This window comes from Homo sapiens, chromosome 8 (assembly GCF_000001405.40).
Source record: "Homo sapiens chromosome 8, GRCh38.p14 Primary Assembly".
NCBI classification, from domain to species: Eukaryota; Metazoa; Chordata; class Mammalia; order Primates; family Hominidae; genus Homo; species Homo sapiens.
In genome coordinates, this window is record NC_000008.11 from 43,062,921 (window position 1) to 43,077,139 (window position 14,219).

Genomic DNA, 14,219 nt, shown 5'->3' on the forward strand with positions numbered 1-14,219 from the left:
TATTCTACTTGGCTGTAAATGACCCCTTTCTGTTTTTTTCTTTTCAGAGACAGGCTCTCACTATGTTACCCAGCGTGGTCTCAAACTCTTGGGCTCAAGCAGTCCTTCTGCCTCAGCCTCCCGAGTAGCTGGGAGTACAGGTGCAAACCACCATACCTGGCAGTTCCTTTTTTTTTTTTTTTTTTGAGACAGTGTTGTGCTGTCACCCAGGCTCGGTGCTTGCGATCATGGCTCACTGCAGCCTTGACCTCCCAGGCTCAAGCGATCCTCCTACCTCTGCCTCCCGAGTAGCTGTGACTGCAGGCCTGGATCACCACGCCCGATTAATTTCTATATTTTTTGTAGAGGCGGAGTTTCCCTAAGTTGCCCAGGCTAATTTTAAACTGCTGGGTTCAAGTGATCTGCCTGCCTCAGTCTTTTGTTTGTTTTTTTTGTAATCCAATGCTCCCAATAAATATCCTTGAATACTTGCACACATATGGGAGTATATTTGTGAGAGAACTTTCTAGAGCTGGAATTACTGGGTCAAAGAGTATGTAAATTTTAATGATTTGTTGTAGAAGTATTTGTACTAGTTTACACTATCTTTAATAATGTACGAGTGAAAAATGCAAAGCTCAGAGTGTGATGGGATCTCGTTTGCATAAAAATGAAGGATGGAATTAGGCTATATACTTGTAGATGCATAGACTATATTTGGAAGGATACACTAGAATGAGTTAATAATGGTTGCTTCTGGGGAGGAGGCTTGGGAATTTAGTGGAATGGAAATCTAGTGTGAACCTTTTTGTACTGTTTGAGTTTTCTGCCTTTGGGCATATTTTTCAGTTAAAAATCTGATCAAAATGTCAGAAAAACAGCTATATGAATATATTTGAATATATGCAACCCTAATTTTTCTTTTATACATAAGGCCTATGGGAGATATGGAATCTGGCATGAACTCATGCACACACGTAAGCAGTAAGCATACAGTTATACATAAATAGTCCATGCTTTTTGTGGCTGAGGCACTAGGGCATTATTAGGGTGGCGGCCACAGCCATTTGACTTTATTTTGCTTGTTGGTATAAATGATACACAGGCCAATAAAATATCTTTATAGGTATAGTGACATTATACATTATAGTGCTAATTTTAAGTAAGATGGTCCTAATGTAGTTGTGTGCTCTATCTCTAGTTAGAGATGTTTATGATTACTTCCGAGCTGTCCTGCAGCGTGATGAAAGAAGTGAACGAGCTTTTAAGCTAACCCGGGATGCTATTGAGTTAAATGCAGCCAATTATACAGTGTGGTAAGTAATACACATCATCAGTATTCCCTGCTTAAATGTTTTACTTCAAGTGGCTTTTCTTTTTTTAAACTGTACTTTAATTTTTTTAAACTGTACTTTATTTTTTTTGGAGGGGGGTGCAGTTTCACTCTTGTTGCCCAGGCTGGAGTATAACTGGTACAATCTTGGCTCACTGCAACCTCTGCCTCCTGGGTTCAAGTGATTCTCCTGCCTCAGCCTTCTGAGTAGCTGGGATTACGGGCGCCCACCACCACGCCCAGCTAATTTTTTTGTATTTTTAGTAGAGACAGGGTTTCACCATGTTGGCCAAGCTGGTCTTGAAATCCTGACTTAAGGTGATCCACTCCCCGCGGCCTCCTAAAGTGTTTGGATTGCAGGTGTGAGCCACTGTGCCTGGCCTTTAATTTTTATCAAAATAGCAATTCGCTTATGGGTTTAAAAGTCAGAAGCTGCATGAAAAGTAGCAATCTCTAGCCCAATATTCCCTCCCACTGCCAGTCCCACTCCGCAGAGGTGGTAAGTAACTCTTAGTGATTTTTTTCTTGAATTAACCTCCATATTCTAGATAATTTGCTTAACTGTTATTATTTTTTCATTTTATTTTATTTTATTTTATATTTTTACTTTTATTTTTTTTTTTTGAGATGGAGTCTTGCTTTGTCACCATCTGGAGTGCAGTGGCACGATCTTGGCTCACTGCAACCTCTGCCTCCAGGGTTCAATCGATTTTCCTGCCTCAGCCTCCCCAGTAGCTGGGATTACAGGTGCCCGCCACCATGCCTGGCTAATTTTTTATTTTTAGTAGAGATAGGGTTTCACCATGTTGGTCAGGCTGGCCTCGATCTCCTGACCTCGTGATCCGCCCACCTCAGCCTTCCAAAGTGCTGGGATTACAGGCGTGAACCACCGTGCCTGGCTTATTTTTTTCATTTAAAACATTATTCCTTCTGTGAAAGATAGTTCATTCTCCACTACCCTCCCTCCATCACAAATGAGCACTCAATTTATGTTCATGCTGACACACTTTTTTTTTTTTGTTTGTTTGTTTTGAGATGGAGTTTCGCTCTTGTTGCCCAGGTTGGAGTGCAGTGGTGCAATCTTGGCTTACTGCAGCCTCTGCCTACCAGATTCAAGTGATTCTCCTGCCTCAGCCTCCCAGGTAGCTGGGATTACAGGTGTACGCCACCACACCCAGCTAATTTTGTATTTTTAGTAGAGACGGGGTTTCATCATGTTGCTCAGGTTGGTCTCGACCTCCTGACCTCGGGTGATCCACCAGTCTCAGCCTCCCAAAGTACTGGGATTATAGGCGTGAGCCACTGTGCACGGCTGCTGACCCACATTTAATAGTATAATGACATTCCCTCTAACAGTGTCATTTTTGTTTTCTTTGTACCAATAGGTAATTTGTCGTCCAGATGCTCTGCTATATGTGAAGTATCATTTTTCTATTGAACACAGGTCATCCTTCAGTTTCATTTTTCTCTTCACCAATTGGATGCTGCATACCTGGTTTTCAGCTCATTCATGTGTTAGATCCCCTGTGTCCTAGATCGTATACCTTTCTCTTTCTTGATTTACTTTCTCATTTTATAGAGCACATCATTGAGTAGAAAGATGGAAAATAATTTTTGGGATTTATACAATTAAAAATCATTAGTCTCCCTTCAACTTTAGTAATAAAATTGTAGATTGGAAATTATTTTCCCTCAGAATTTTAAAACTCTTTTTCTGTTTCTCTTAGCTTCTTTTCAGGTTGAGAAGATTTCCATTCCTTTGTTTAAAACTTTTCTTTTTCTCTTTATGTTCTGGGGATTTTTCTGGGTTCTTCTGATAATTTCTTCTCTTTCCTCTGTTTTCTTTTTCTGGAATGCCTTTTAGTTCTATGTTGTATCTCCTCAATTTTTCTTATTTTCATTTGTTTATCTTTTTATTTTCTTTTGAGATAATTTCATCAATTTTATTTTCTAACTCTCGTATGGATTTTTAAAGATTTCTGCATTCATTTTTAATTTGGGGGAGCTGTTTTTTTGTTCTGTGAATATGCTTTTTTTTTTTTGAGACAGAGTCTCGCTCAGTTGCCCAGGCTGGAGTGCAGTGGCTCGATCTCTGCTCACTGCAAGCTCTGCCTCCTGGGTTCACGCCATTCTCCTGCCTCAGCCTCCCGAGTAGCTGGGACTACGGACGCCTGCCACCACTCCCAGCTAATTTTTTTGTATTTTTTTAGTAGAGATGGGGTTTCACCGTGTTAGCCAGGATGGTCTTGATCTCCTGACCTCGTGATCCGCCCGCCTCGGCCTCCCAAAGTGCTGGGATTACAGGCGTGAGCCACCTTGCCTGGCCTGAATATTCTTTTTTAAATAGCATCGTTCGTGTGTGTGTGTGTGTGTGTGTGTGTTTAATTTCATGGATGTGAGATCTTCTCATCTCTTTTGTTCTCTTTCATATAAATATTTTTCTCAAATGGTTGGTAATTCTTGACTTTCTCTTTATGCGTATAAGAGAGACAGGAAAAATCCTGATTGGAAGCCCTGTGTGTGGCAGGATTTGTCAGCTGAAGGGCTTCGCTGTGAAGTTACTGAGTGGGGATGTGGCTGTGTTGTAGTGAAATCTCACTAGTCAGTATTTAAGTCTTTTCTCTTGGACAGTGTGTCTCTCAAAGAGGATTAAGTAGTTTATTGCCTAAGGAGTGTACATTTAACTGCCACAGTTCTAGGGTGTTAGGCAGGGGAAGATGGTAGGAGAGTCTCACTGTTTAGGATACCAACTTTTTGCTTTTTGCAGATCTTATCCTGTTGTAATTTGAAATAGAAACTTTTTTTTCTAAGTTTGTATATCAACATTTTAAATGTCCTTATTTCCACCCTTTAACTCACCCTGCCTTCCAGTGTGCCTTGTAACCCATTCTGCTTCAGATTTTTCCAGAGAATAAAGCCACTTGTCTCCTGCCCAAGACAGGATGTCACTTCTGTCATGGTAGTGGGAACGGTCTTGGCCGCCAAGGACTCTTTATATAGACTTTCCACTGTTTTTAGTCCCAGTTTTGGAAATACGTCATACCTCTGATTTCTGGAATTTTCTTAAAGTCTTATTCTGTGTTTTAGTTAAATCTTGTCTATCTGCTCACACTTCCCATAATGTTGTTGACCTCTTCCAGTTGCCGTGGTATCTTTGCCCCGATTCTCTTTGTTCTTGTGGGTTTATTCCTTTGTTGTCATTTTAGTGGGGTTTTATTAGGGAGTGAGAATAAACTTGTTTACTTAATCTACCCTGTTTAACTGGAATTCTCAGTGTGTTTCATCATTTTTGGAACTGACAGTACACTTAAAAGATTTCCTGTGAGTTTATTGCTGTTTTGAAAGAAGCAGTATACCTGGAATCCTTACCCATAAAAGCCAAGGGCTTATATTTACATGCTCTGGGAAGTCTACTTTTTTTTTTTTTTTGGAATAATAATGGAGAGAAATACTGTTGTCTCTCCTATTTAGCATTTTATTTTATTTTATTTTTATTAATTTTTTTGAGATGGAGTCTCACGCTGTTGCCCAGGCTGGAGTACGGTGACGTGATCTTGGCTCACTGCAACCTCCGTCACCGGGGTTCAAGTGATTCTCGTGCTGCAGTGTCGCGAATAGCTGGAATTACAGGTGTCTGCCACCACACCCAGCTAGTTTTGTATTTTTGTTTGTTTGTTTGTTTTTTGAGACGGAGTCTTGCTCTGTCGCCCAGGCTGGAGTGCAGTGGCACAATCATGGCTCATTACAACTTCCGACTCCCGGCTTCAAGCAAGTCTCCTGCCTCAGTCTCCCGAGTAGCTGGGACTACAGGCGCATGCCACCATGCCCAGCTAATTTTTTTGTATTTTTAGTAGAGATGGTGTTTCACCATGTTAGCCAGGTCTCAAACTCCTGACCTCGTGATCCGCCCACCTCGGCCTCCCAAAGTGCTGGGATTACAGGCTAATTTTTGTATTTTTAATAGAGATGGGGTTTTGCCACGTTGGCCAGGCTGGTCTCAAACTCTTGACCTCAAGTGATCTGCCTGCCTCAGCCTCCCAAAGTTAGCAGTTCATTTTAAAAGCTAATAAAATTAGGTCCTGGAATGTCCCTTACTATATATCGAGTTGGAAATTTTTGAAATTTTGAAGTAAAACTAGACCAGAACTAACGACGTCTTTAGGAAAATTCCTTTTGTTGGTGGTGGTGGTTAAAACTCCACCTATGGGGAAATTAAAGACAAACTTGTTTCATTTACAAGTAGCATTTTTGTGGTTGTTCTAGAAGTATTTTGTTAATGTTTATAATAGAATTAATTTATTATATGGATAATGTATGTACACGAACAACGTGTACTGTGTAGGGAAAGAGATGTCTTTGATTTTCATATTATAGAACATAGGTGACCAGAGTAGTACCTGAAAATAATTTTAGTTGGTTGGCTGTCATTACTTAAGAATCAGAAATTTACTTTTCTTCTATCTCATACTTGTTACCTTTCACTATTTTTTTCTTTTTGAGACAGAGTTTTGCTCTTGTTGCCCAGTCTGGAGTGCAATGGCGTGATCTTGGCTCACTGCAGCCTCTGCCTCCTCGGTTCAAGTGATTCTCCTGCCTCAGTCTCCCAGGTAGCTGGGATTACAGGCATGCACCACCTCGCCCAACTGATTTTGCATTTTTAGTAGAGATGGGGTTTCTCCATGTTGGTTAGGCTGGTCTCAAACTCCTGACCTCAGGTGACCCACCTGCCTCAGCCTCTCAAAGTGCTGGGGTTACAGGCGTGAGCCACTGTGCCTGGCCACCTTTCACTATTTTTACTAAAAGTGCTTCATTTCTTCCAGTCACCAGATAGTCCACTCACAAGCACTTAAATTGTTAAATTATACAGAGTACCTATGTATAATTTTTTTTTTGGGTGGGGGTGGATGGAGTCTCCCTCTGTTGCCCAGGCTAGTGTGCAGTGGTGTGATCTTGGCTCATTGCAACCTCTGCCTCCTGGGTTCAAGCAATTCTCCTGCCTCAGCCTCCCCGAGCAGCTGGGACTACAGGTGTGCACCACCATGCCCAACTAATTTTTTCTGTATTTTTAGTAGAGACGAGGTTTCACCACGTTGGCAAGGCTGGTCTCAAACTCTTGACCTCATGTGACCTGCACACCTCGGCCTCCCAAAGTGCTGGGATTACAAGCATGAGCCACCGTGCTTGGCCTATAATTGTTAAATTATACAGATTACCTGCCAAAAATTTGTCTAACTGTATTGCTGACTTGTAGCTGTATTTGATATTGTTATTAGGGAACTTCTGTGTAATAATGCGACTTTGGATGTTGTATGTTTGCCCTAGGCATTTCCGGAGAGTTCTTTTGAAGTCACTTCAGAAGGATCTACATGAGGAAATGAACTACATCACTGCAATAATTGAGGAGCAGCCCAAAAACTATCAAGTTTGGTAAGTTTGGAGTCTAGCTGTGTCTCCCAGGCTGGAGTGCAGTGGCATGACCTCGGCTCACTGCAGCCTCTGCCTCCTGGGTTCAAGTGATTCTCCAGCTTCAGCCTCCTGGGTAGCTGGGATTACAGGTGCACGCAACCACACCTGGCTAATTTTGTATTTTTAGTAGAGACGGGGTTTTGCCATGTTGGCCAGGCTGGTCTCGAACTTCTGACCTCAGGTGATCCGCCCTCCTCAGCCTCCCAAAGTGCAGGGATTACAGGTATGAGCCATTGCGCCTGGCCTAGAATTTTATTTAAAAACTACCACTGTAGCCAGGTGCAGTGGCTTCTGCTTGTAATCCCAGCAGTTTGGGAGGCTGAGGCGAGCAGATCACTTGAGTTCAGGAGTTTGAGACCAGCCTGGCCAACATGGTGAATCCCCGTCTCTACTAAAAATACAGAAATTAGCCGGGTGTGGTGGCGTGCCTGTAATCCCAGCTACTCAAGGAGCGTGCCTGTAATCCCAGCTACTCAAGGAGCGTGCCTGTAATCCCAGCTACTCAGGAGGCTGTCAGGATAATCACTTGAACCTGGGAGGTGGAGGTTTCGGTGAGCTGAGATTGCACCACTGCACTCCAGCCTGGGGGACCGAGTGAGACTCTGTCTCAAAAAAAATAAAAAATAAAAAATAAATTAAAAAACTAAAAACTTTACCATTGTAGCCTGTTGATTACAAGATTGTTGTATTTCTAAGAAATTACATTATAAAATAATTGGTTTAATGGGAAAAGAGATTAAATGGAGAGTTGCAGACCCTCACTAAAGTTATTTACCCTGTGGAATTAAGGTGCTTTTATGTAAAAATCTGTAGCTATAAAATTCTGACATCACAGGCATTAGTGTTTGATTACATCGAGTTTTTGCTAAAGAGAAATTGCTTTTCTTTTCTGGATACTGCACACTGTCATTAGCACTTCATCACCCACTGTTATGTAAAACACAAAACCACTCAAAGTAGCTGCTATGGAAAGCCCAGCAGTTTTGAAATTGTTGTACATTTCTAATTATCCGCTCTGTTCGTTTTATAACCAGTGTAGTACAGGCGATGCAAATTCTGTATCCCAGTTAACTAATCACTTTTATTAACTTCTAACTGAAAACTTATGCTATAACATAAAGCCGTGTAACTCCTTAAATCCGAGAACATCAGCATGAACTTTTTCTTCCTCAGTTTGATATCCTGGAGGATCTGATTCTTAGCTTTTCTAAATTACTGAACTCACCAGCAACCTGGAAAAATAAAATCCAGCTAGTGTTCACTGACTTGGAAGATTTCTAAAATAAATTTGGAAACCTTCTGTCTAGGCTTTTGTTTTTGGTAGTATCTTGTCTTAATCTGTAAGACGAATTTTTTAATTTTCCAGGCATGTAGAATAGGTCATTCATTAAGCATTAAATCCTTCCCTTTTTCCTATTGTTCTGCTCACTTTTAGTTGAATGTTATACTCTAATATAGATTTTTTAAGGGTCCGTTTTATTGAGATATAGTTCACTTACCATACAATTCCCCCATTCAAAGTATATAATTCAGTGTTTTTTAGTATATATACAGATCTGTACAACCATCACCATAGTGAGTTTTAGAACATTTTCACTAATAGATTTATATAAATATTTCAGCCAAAGAAAATTATAAAAATGGAACCCAATATAAAATCCTTAAGTATTTTCCTAGCGCAGAAACTCCTGGCCGGGCGCGGTGGCTCACGTCTGTAATCCCAGCACTTTAGGAGGCTGAGGTGGGCGGATCACCTGAGGGCAGGAGTTTGAGACCTGCCTGGCAAACATGGTGAAACCCCGTCTCTACTTAAAATCCAAAAAATTAGCCGGGCGTGGTGGCAGGCGCCTGTAATCCCAGCTACTCGGGAGGCTGAGGCACGAGAATTGCTTGAACCTGGGAGGCGGAGGTTGCAGTGAGCTGAGATTGCGCCATTGCACTCCAGCCTGGGGGACAATGCACTCCAGCCTGGGGAACAAGAGCGAGACTTCGTCTCAAAAAAAAAAAAAAAAACAAAAAAACTCCTCTGTTGACAACTTGCAACTTGTCATAGCTACTTGCCAGTGTAGCAGTAAATTCAGTTCTGCCCACTCATTTGTAGAATGAGAAGCTGCTTGTTTGATGACACTTTGCACTTAGGGAAAATTGACAGGCGTGTGTTAAGTAGAGGAACTTATATATTTGATAAAATAATAGCACATTTTGTCTTGTCTCTCATTATACAATCTAGTAATGTTTCTTAATTTTTTGACACAATTTCATGGTTGTTGAAAGATACTACCAGATGTAGTTTGAGATAAACTATCTGAATTTTTTTTCTATTTTTTTTGTGTTACCTTTTCTCCACAGTGGAGTGTTAAGAATTAGAGATGAATTTTTGTTTATTGTGTGTCCTTTCATGTCACCTTTACAACATGTGCAACTGATATTTTAGTTCATGGGTAAATTAACAAAAAACTTCTCTCCCTTCTTTGGGCTTTAGGCATCATAGGCGAGTATTAGTGGAATGGCTAAGAGATCCATCTCAGGAGCTTGAATTTATTGCTGATATTCTTAATCAGGATGCAAAGAATTATCATGCCTGGCAGCATCGACAATGGGTTATTCAGGTATTGCCTTTCTTGTACAGTGTTTTTCAGATTTTTTTTTTAACTGAACTAAATAAAATTACTCTTAAAGTCTGTTTCTAAACCAAAACACACACATACGTAGATCATTGCACCCAATATATAACTAAAAATTATTGGCCATGTGTGGTGGCTCATGTCTGTGATCCCAGTACTTTGGGAGGCCAAGGCAGGAGGATTGAGTGAGGCCAGGAGTTTGAGATCAGCCTGGGCAACAAAGTGAGACCCCCGTCTCTACAAAAAATACAAAAATTAGCCATGCATGGTGGCACACACCTGTAGTCCCAGCTGCTTGGGAGGCTGAGGCAGGAGGATTGCTTGAGCCCAAGAATTTGAGGTTGCAGTGAACTATGATTACACCACTGCAGTCTACCCTGGGCAGCAGAGTGAGACCCTATCTATTTTAAAAAAAAACAAACATTATTAACATACTTAAAACCTGACATCCTTCATGTTAGCTAACCTTTATAATCTCTTTGGATGTAGTAAATTTTTAGTATTTTTTAGATTGAATTTGTATCATATTTGCTAGCAAATTGAGTATAAAGAGTAGCATATTTTTACTACAGATGTATTATTTTAACTAACAAAGGCATATTATACATTTTTTTCATATATAAACTTTGGAATAGGATTTTACAGTAACTTAAGTTTTTTATTTCTACCCATGTGTCAAAGTTTTATGCTAAATTCTGAATAGAATAGTTGTAACTCCCACTCTGGGTATTTTATTTATTTTAAACAGTTCTAGTATTGTTTCCTGTGAATTTTTTCCAGGGATTGCTACTTTCTGCACTATTCATTAGACCAAGAGCATTTCACCAAATACTTAAAACTTAAAAATTTTTAAACTTTTCCAAATTTGATTAAAAGGATAACATATTCTAAAGGTATTCAATATTTTTACTTATCTCTGAAAAACTTAATCACATAAAAGCATACATTTTACACATACAGCTCTCTCCATCTTCCACAATAGATTAAGACATAAAACATAACCAGTATTTTTGAAAAGCCCCCTTAACTGGCATGCTTCTTACTGAAATTATCATAAAAGGTTCGTATGAGAAAGGATTCCAGAATATCCCTTAATTGTGTTGTAGCTTATGCATTTCTATTTATTTTATACATTATTTAATTCATGTGAGTTACTTACCTGGCAGGGAAGATATGATCACCAAGGTGCCTTTCACATTCATTGCACTCTGGATGTGCTGACCCCTGCAATTTCCCCAAATGGGGGAAGCTCAACTGCATAATTTGTGATAGGGGGACTGTGTGGCACTTTCCTCTGGTCTTCGTGGTTTAAGAACAGGTTTTCTCTGCTTATTTTTATTAAAAAAAAAAAAATTATGTGAGTCAGTGGTTCTCAAGCAGCAGTGATTGTGCCCCCTAGGGGACATTTTTGGTTGTCAGAACTTGGGGCATGTTGCTATTGGCATCTATTGGGTAGAGGGCCAGGATGCTGCTAAACATCCCAAAATGCACAGGACAGTCCCCCACAACAAAGAATTATCCAGCCCATACTTTCAGTAGTGTCAAAGCCAAGGAACTGTGGTCTATTTCTATATGGAAAACTATTTTATTAATATTTCAGTTATTTTCAATGAGGATTTAATGAATTCAGCATACTCTTTGATGACCTAAAATGGGACTATGAGATCTCTAAAAAATATTTCATGACATATATATTAAAAACGTGGTAAAATTTTAGTTTTAAACGTTAGTTTTAAACATGAATTATAAACATTCATGGCCTGTATGTCATTGGCATTGACTGTACTAGAGCTTCTTAAATGAAGGAGTAGAGGACCCTTCTTTGTCCCCAACCGATCACAGATTGGATGTATTTTACTGTATTTCATGTATATCTCATTTATATAAAATACACTAAAAATCAATTACTTTAAAAATGAGTCTGGGTACAGTGGCTCACGCCTGTAATCCCAACACTTTGGGAGGCCCAGGCAAGTGGATCCCGTGAGGCCAGGAGTTCACGACTAGCCTGGCAACATGGCAAAACCCCGTCTCTACAAAAAATACAAAAAAATGAGACGAGCGTAGTGGCGCATGCTTGTGTTCGCAGCTACTCAGGAGGCTGAGGCAGGAGAATCACTTGAGCCCAAGAGGTGGAGGCTGTGGTGAGCTATGCTCACGCCACCACAGTCCATCCTGGGCAACAAAATGAGACCCTGTCTCAAAAGAAAAAAAATTAAAAGTGAAATACACACACACACACACACACTACTACTCACCAGTCAAAAGAAATGAATGATCCATACCGGCAACAACTTGGATGGATCTCAAGGGTATGATCCTTAGTGGAAGGGGAAGTCTCAGGTTTCATACTGTATGGCTCCATTGAGATAATATCCTTGAAACAGCAAAATTATAGACGTAGAGAACAGATCAGAGGTTGCCAGGGTGAGGGAAAAGGGGGTACAGCTATAAAGGGGTAGCATGAGGTAGTTTCTGTGTGCTGAGGGAATAGTTCTCCATCTTGATTGTGGTAGTTATACTATACATGGGATTAAATTGTGTAGAATTATATTCTACCCCCACTCCTCCACCTGTCCCACATACCCACAAGTGAGTACATGTAAGATCTGAATAAGGTGAGCGGTTCCATTAACAATAATGTACAGATGTCATTTTCTGGTTTTGGGATTGCACTTTAGTAAGATGTTTACCATTTGGGGAATCTAAGTGAAGGGTACACAGGGCACTGTGTTATTTTTATAACTTCCATGAGTCTGAAAACAAATAGAAACATATGTATAGAAAACACTACTCTTTGTTTTTCATTATTAGACTCTACAGACATTAAATTGTTACATTGATACAAAAGCTTGTAGGTGTTTACTCTCTATCCTTAGCATGCTGGAGACTGAGAACAGTGGGAGGACACCAATCAGTGCCCACACTAGGCACTAGTTCCTGAACTCCACTAGGAACTTTCACAAAAATGTTACTTTCCTTAATGCGTTTATTTTTATGATCACCTGTAAAATCGGGGACTATCATAGGAGATTCTTACTTTTTTGCTGTTACCAAATAAGAAAACTCCATTATCTTTTTTATAATGTCCCCTACTTTCAAATTATTTATAAGTTTTTTTTATCATTTTCCTCTTTTAAATTATCTTTATTGGTTCTCTTCCCCCATTTTTTTTTATTAAGAGAGCTTTATAATATAAAAAATTTATATTGCCTGGGTGTGGTGGCTCATGCCTGTAATCCCAGCACTTTGGGAGGCCGAGGTGGGCAGATTACTTGAGTTCAGGAGTTCAAGACCAGCCTGGCCAACATGGTAAAACCTGGTCTCTACGAAAACTACAAAAATTAGCCGGTTATGTTGGCTCACACCTGTAGTCCCAGCTACTTGAGGAGCTGAGGCAAGAATATCGCTTGAGTCTGGGAGTTGGAGGTTACAGCGAGCTGAGACTATGCCACTGCACTGCAGCCTGGGCGACCAAGTGAGACGCTGTCTCAATAAAAATAATAGAAATTTATATCTTTGTCCAATTGTGTATATTTCTTTTCTTTTTCTTTTTCTTTTTTTTTTTTGGGACAGGGTCTGTTTCTGTCGCCCAGAGTGCAGTGGTGCAGTCATAGCTCACTGCAGCCTTAAACTCCGGGGCTCAAGTGATCCTCTTCAGCCTCCTGAGTAGCTGGGATTCTAGGCATGTGCCACGATGCCCGACTAATTTTTTTATTTTTATTGTTTTTATTTTTTGGAGACAGAGCCTTGCTCTGTCCCCCAGGCTTGAGTGCAATGGCACGATCTCAGCTCATTGCAACCTCCACCTCACGGGTTCAAGCGATTCTCTTGCCTCAGCCTCCCAAGTAACCGGGATTACAGGCGCCTGTCATCACACCCGGCTAATTTTTGTGTTTTTAGTAGAGATGGGGTTTAGCCATGTTGGCCAGGTTGGTCTCAAACTCCTGACCTCAGGTGATCCACCCACCTCGACCTCCCAAAGTGCTGGGATTACAAACTTGAGCCACCGTGCCCGGACTGTCTTTATTATTTTTCCAGACAAGATCTTGTTATGTTGCCTCTGCTGGTCTCGAACTCCTGGCCTCAAGTGACCTTTCTGCCTCAGCCTCCTGAAGCAGTGGGATTGCCCATGAGAGCCACCACTATTGACCATGTATGCTTCTCTCCATGTATTTTAATGTAATTTTATCATATGTGCACTTTTGAATGCTACCCTTTTACTTAATTTTCATTTTTGAATGCTGCCCTTTTACTTTGATATATTAATATCGGCCAGGTACGGTGGCTTACGCCTGTAATCCCAGCACTTTAGGAGCCCGAGGTGGGCGGATCACCTGAGGTTGGGAGTTCAAGACCAGCCTGACCAACGTGGAGAAACCCCATCTCTACTAAAAATACAAAATTAGCCAGGTGTGGTGGCGCATGCTTGTAATCCCAGCTACTTGGGAGGCTGAGGCAGGAGAATCGCTTGAACCCAGGAAGTGGAGGTTGCAGTGAGCTGAGTTCACGCCATTGCACTCCAGCCTGGGCAACAAGAGTGAAACTGCCTCAAAAAAATAATAATAAGATATATTAATATCAAGTCACATCAAATTTATATCTATACTGTGGTCACTCCTTCTCTTACTAGTGAGTTTGGGGTTTTTTTCCCTCAAAATTTTCTTGGATGTCTTTTTTCCTGCTTTCTGTATGTGTCTTTCCAGGCTCTATCATCAATTTCATACTTGTATCCCCCTCTATTTCCTTTACTTGCAGCTATCACTACCTTCTGAATTTGTGATAAATCCTGTGTCCTCAGTTCTACCTTCTTTGTT

General features: G+C 40.6%; 1 protein-coding gene and 1 pseudogene across 2 annotated transcripts in view; both read left to right on the forward strand.

Moving 5' to 3' along the window:
* FNTA (farnesyltransferase, CAAX box, subunit alpha) overlaps nucleotides 1-14,219 on the forward strand; it is a 29,463-nt gene that overhangs the window by 6,598 nt on the left and 8,646 nt on the right. For both annotated transcript variants that reach the window (NR_033698.2, NM_002027.3), the window contains 3 exons: nucleotides 1,181-1,295; nucleotides 6,635-6,739; nucleotides 9,261-9,387. Coding sequence is in view for 1 of the 2 variants with exons in the window: in NM_002027.3 (NP_002018.1) it covers nucleotides 1,181-1,295; nucleotides 6,635-6,739; nucleotides 9,261-9,387 (347 nt within the window). In the remaining variant the exon portion in view is untranslated. The remainder of the gene's footprint in view (nucleotides 1-1,180; nucleotides 1,296-6,634; nucleotides 6,740-9,260; nucleotides 9,388-14,219) is intronic.
* Nucleotides 10,554-10,698, forward strand: RNU1-124P (RNA, U1 small nuclear 124, pseudogene; annotated as a pseudogene).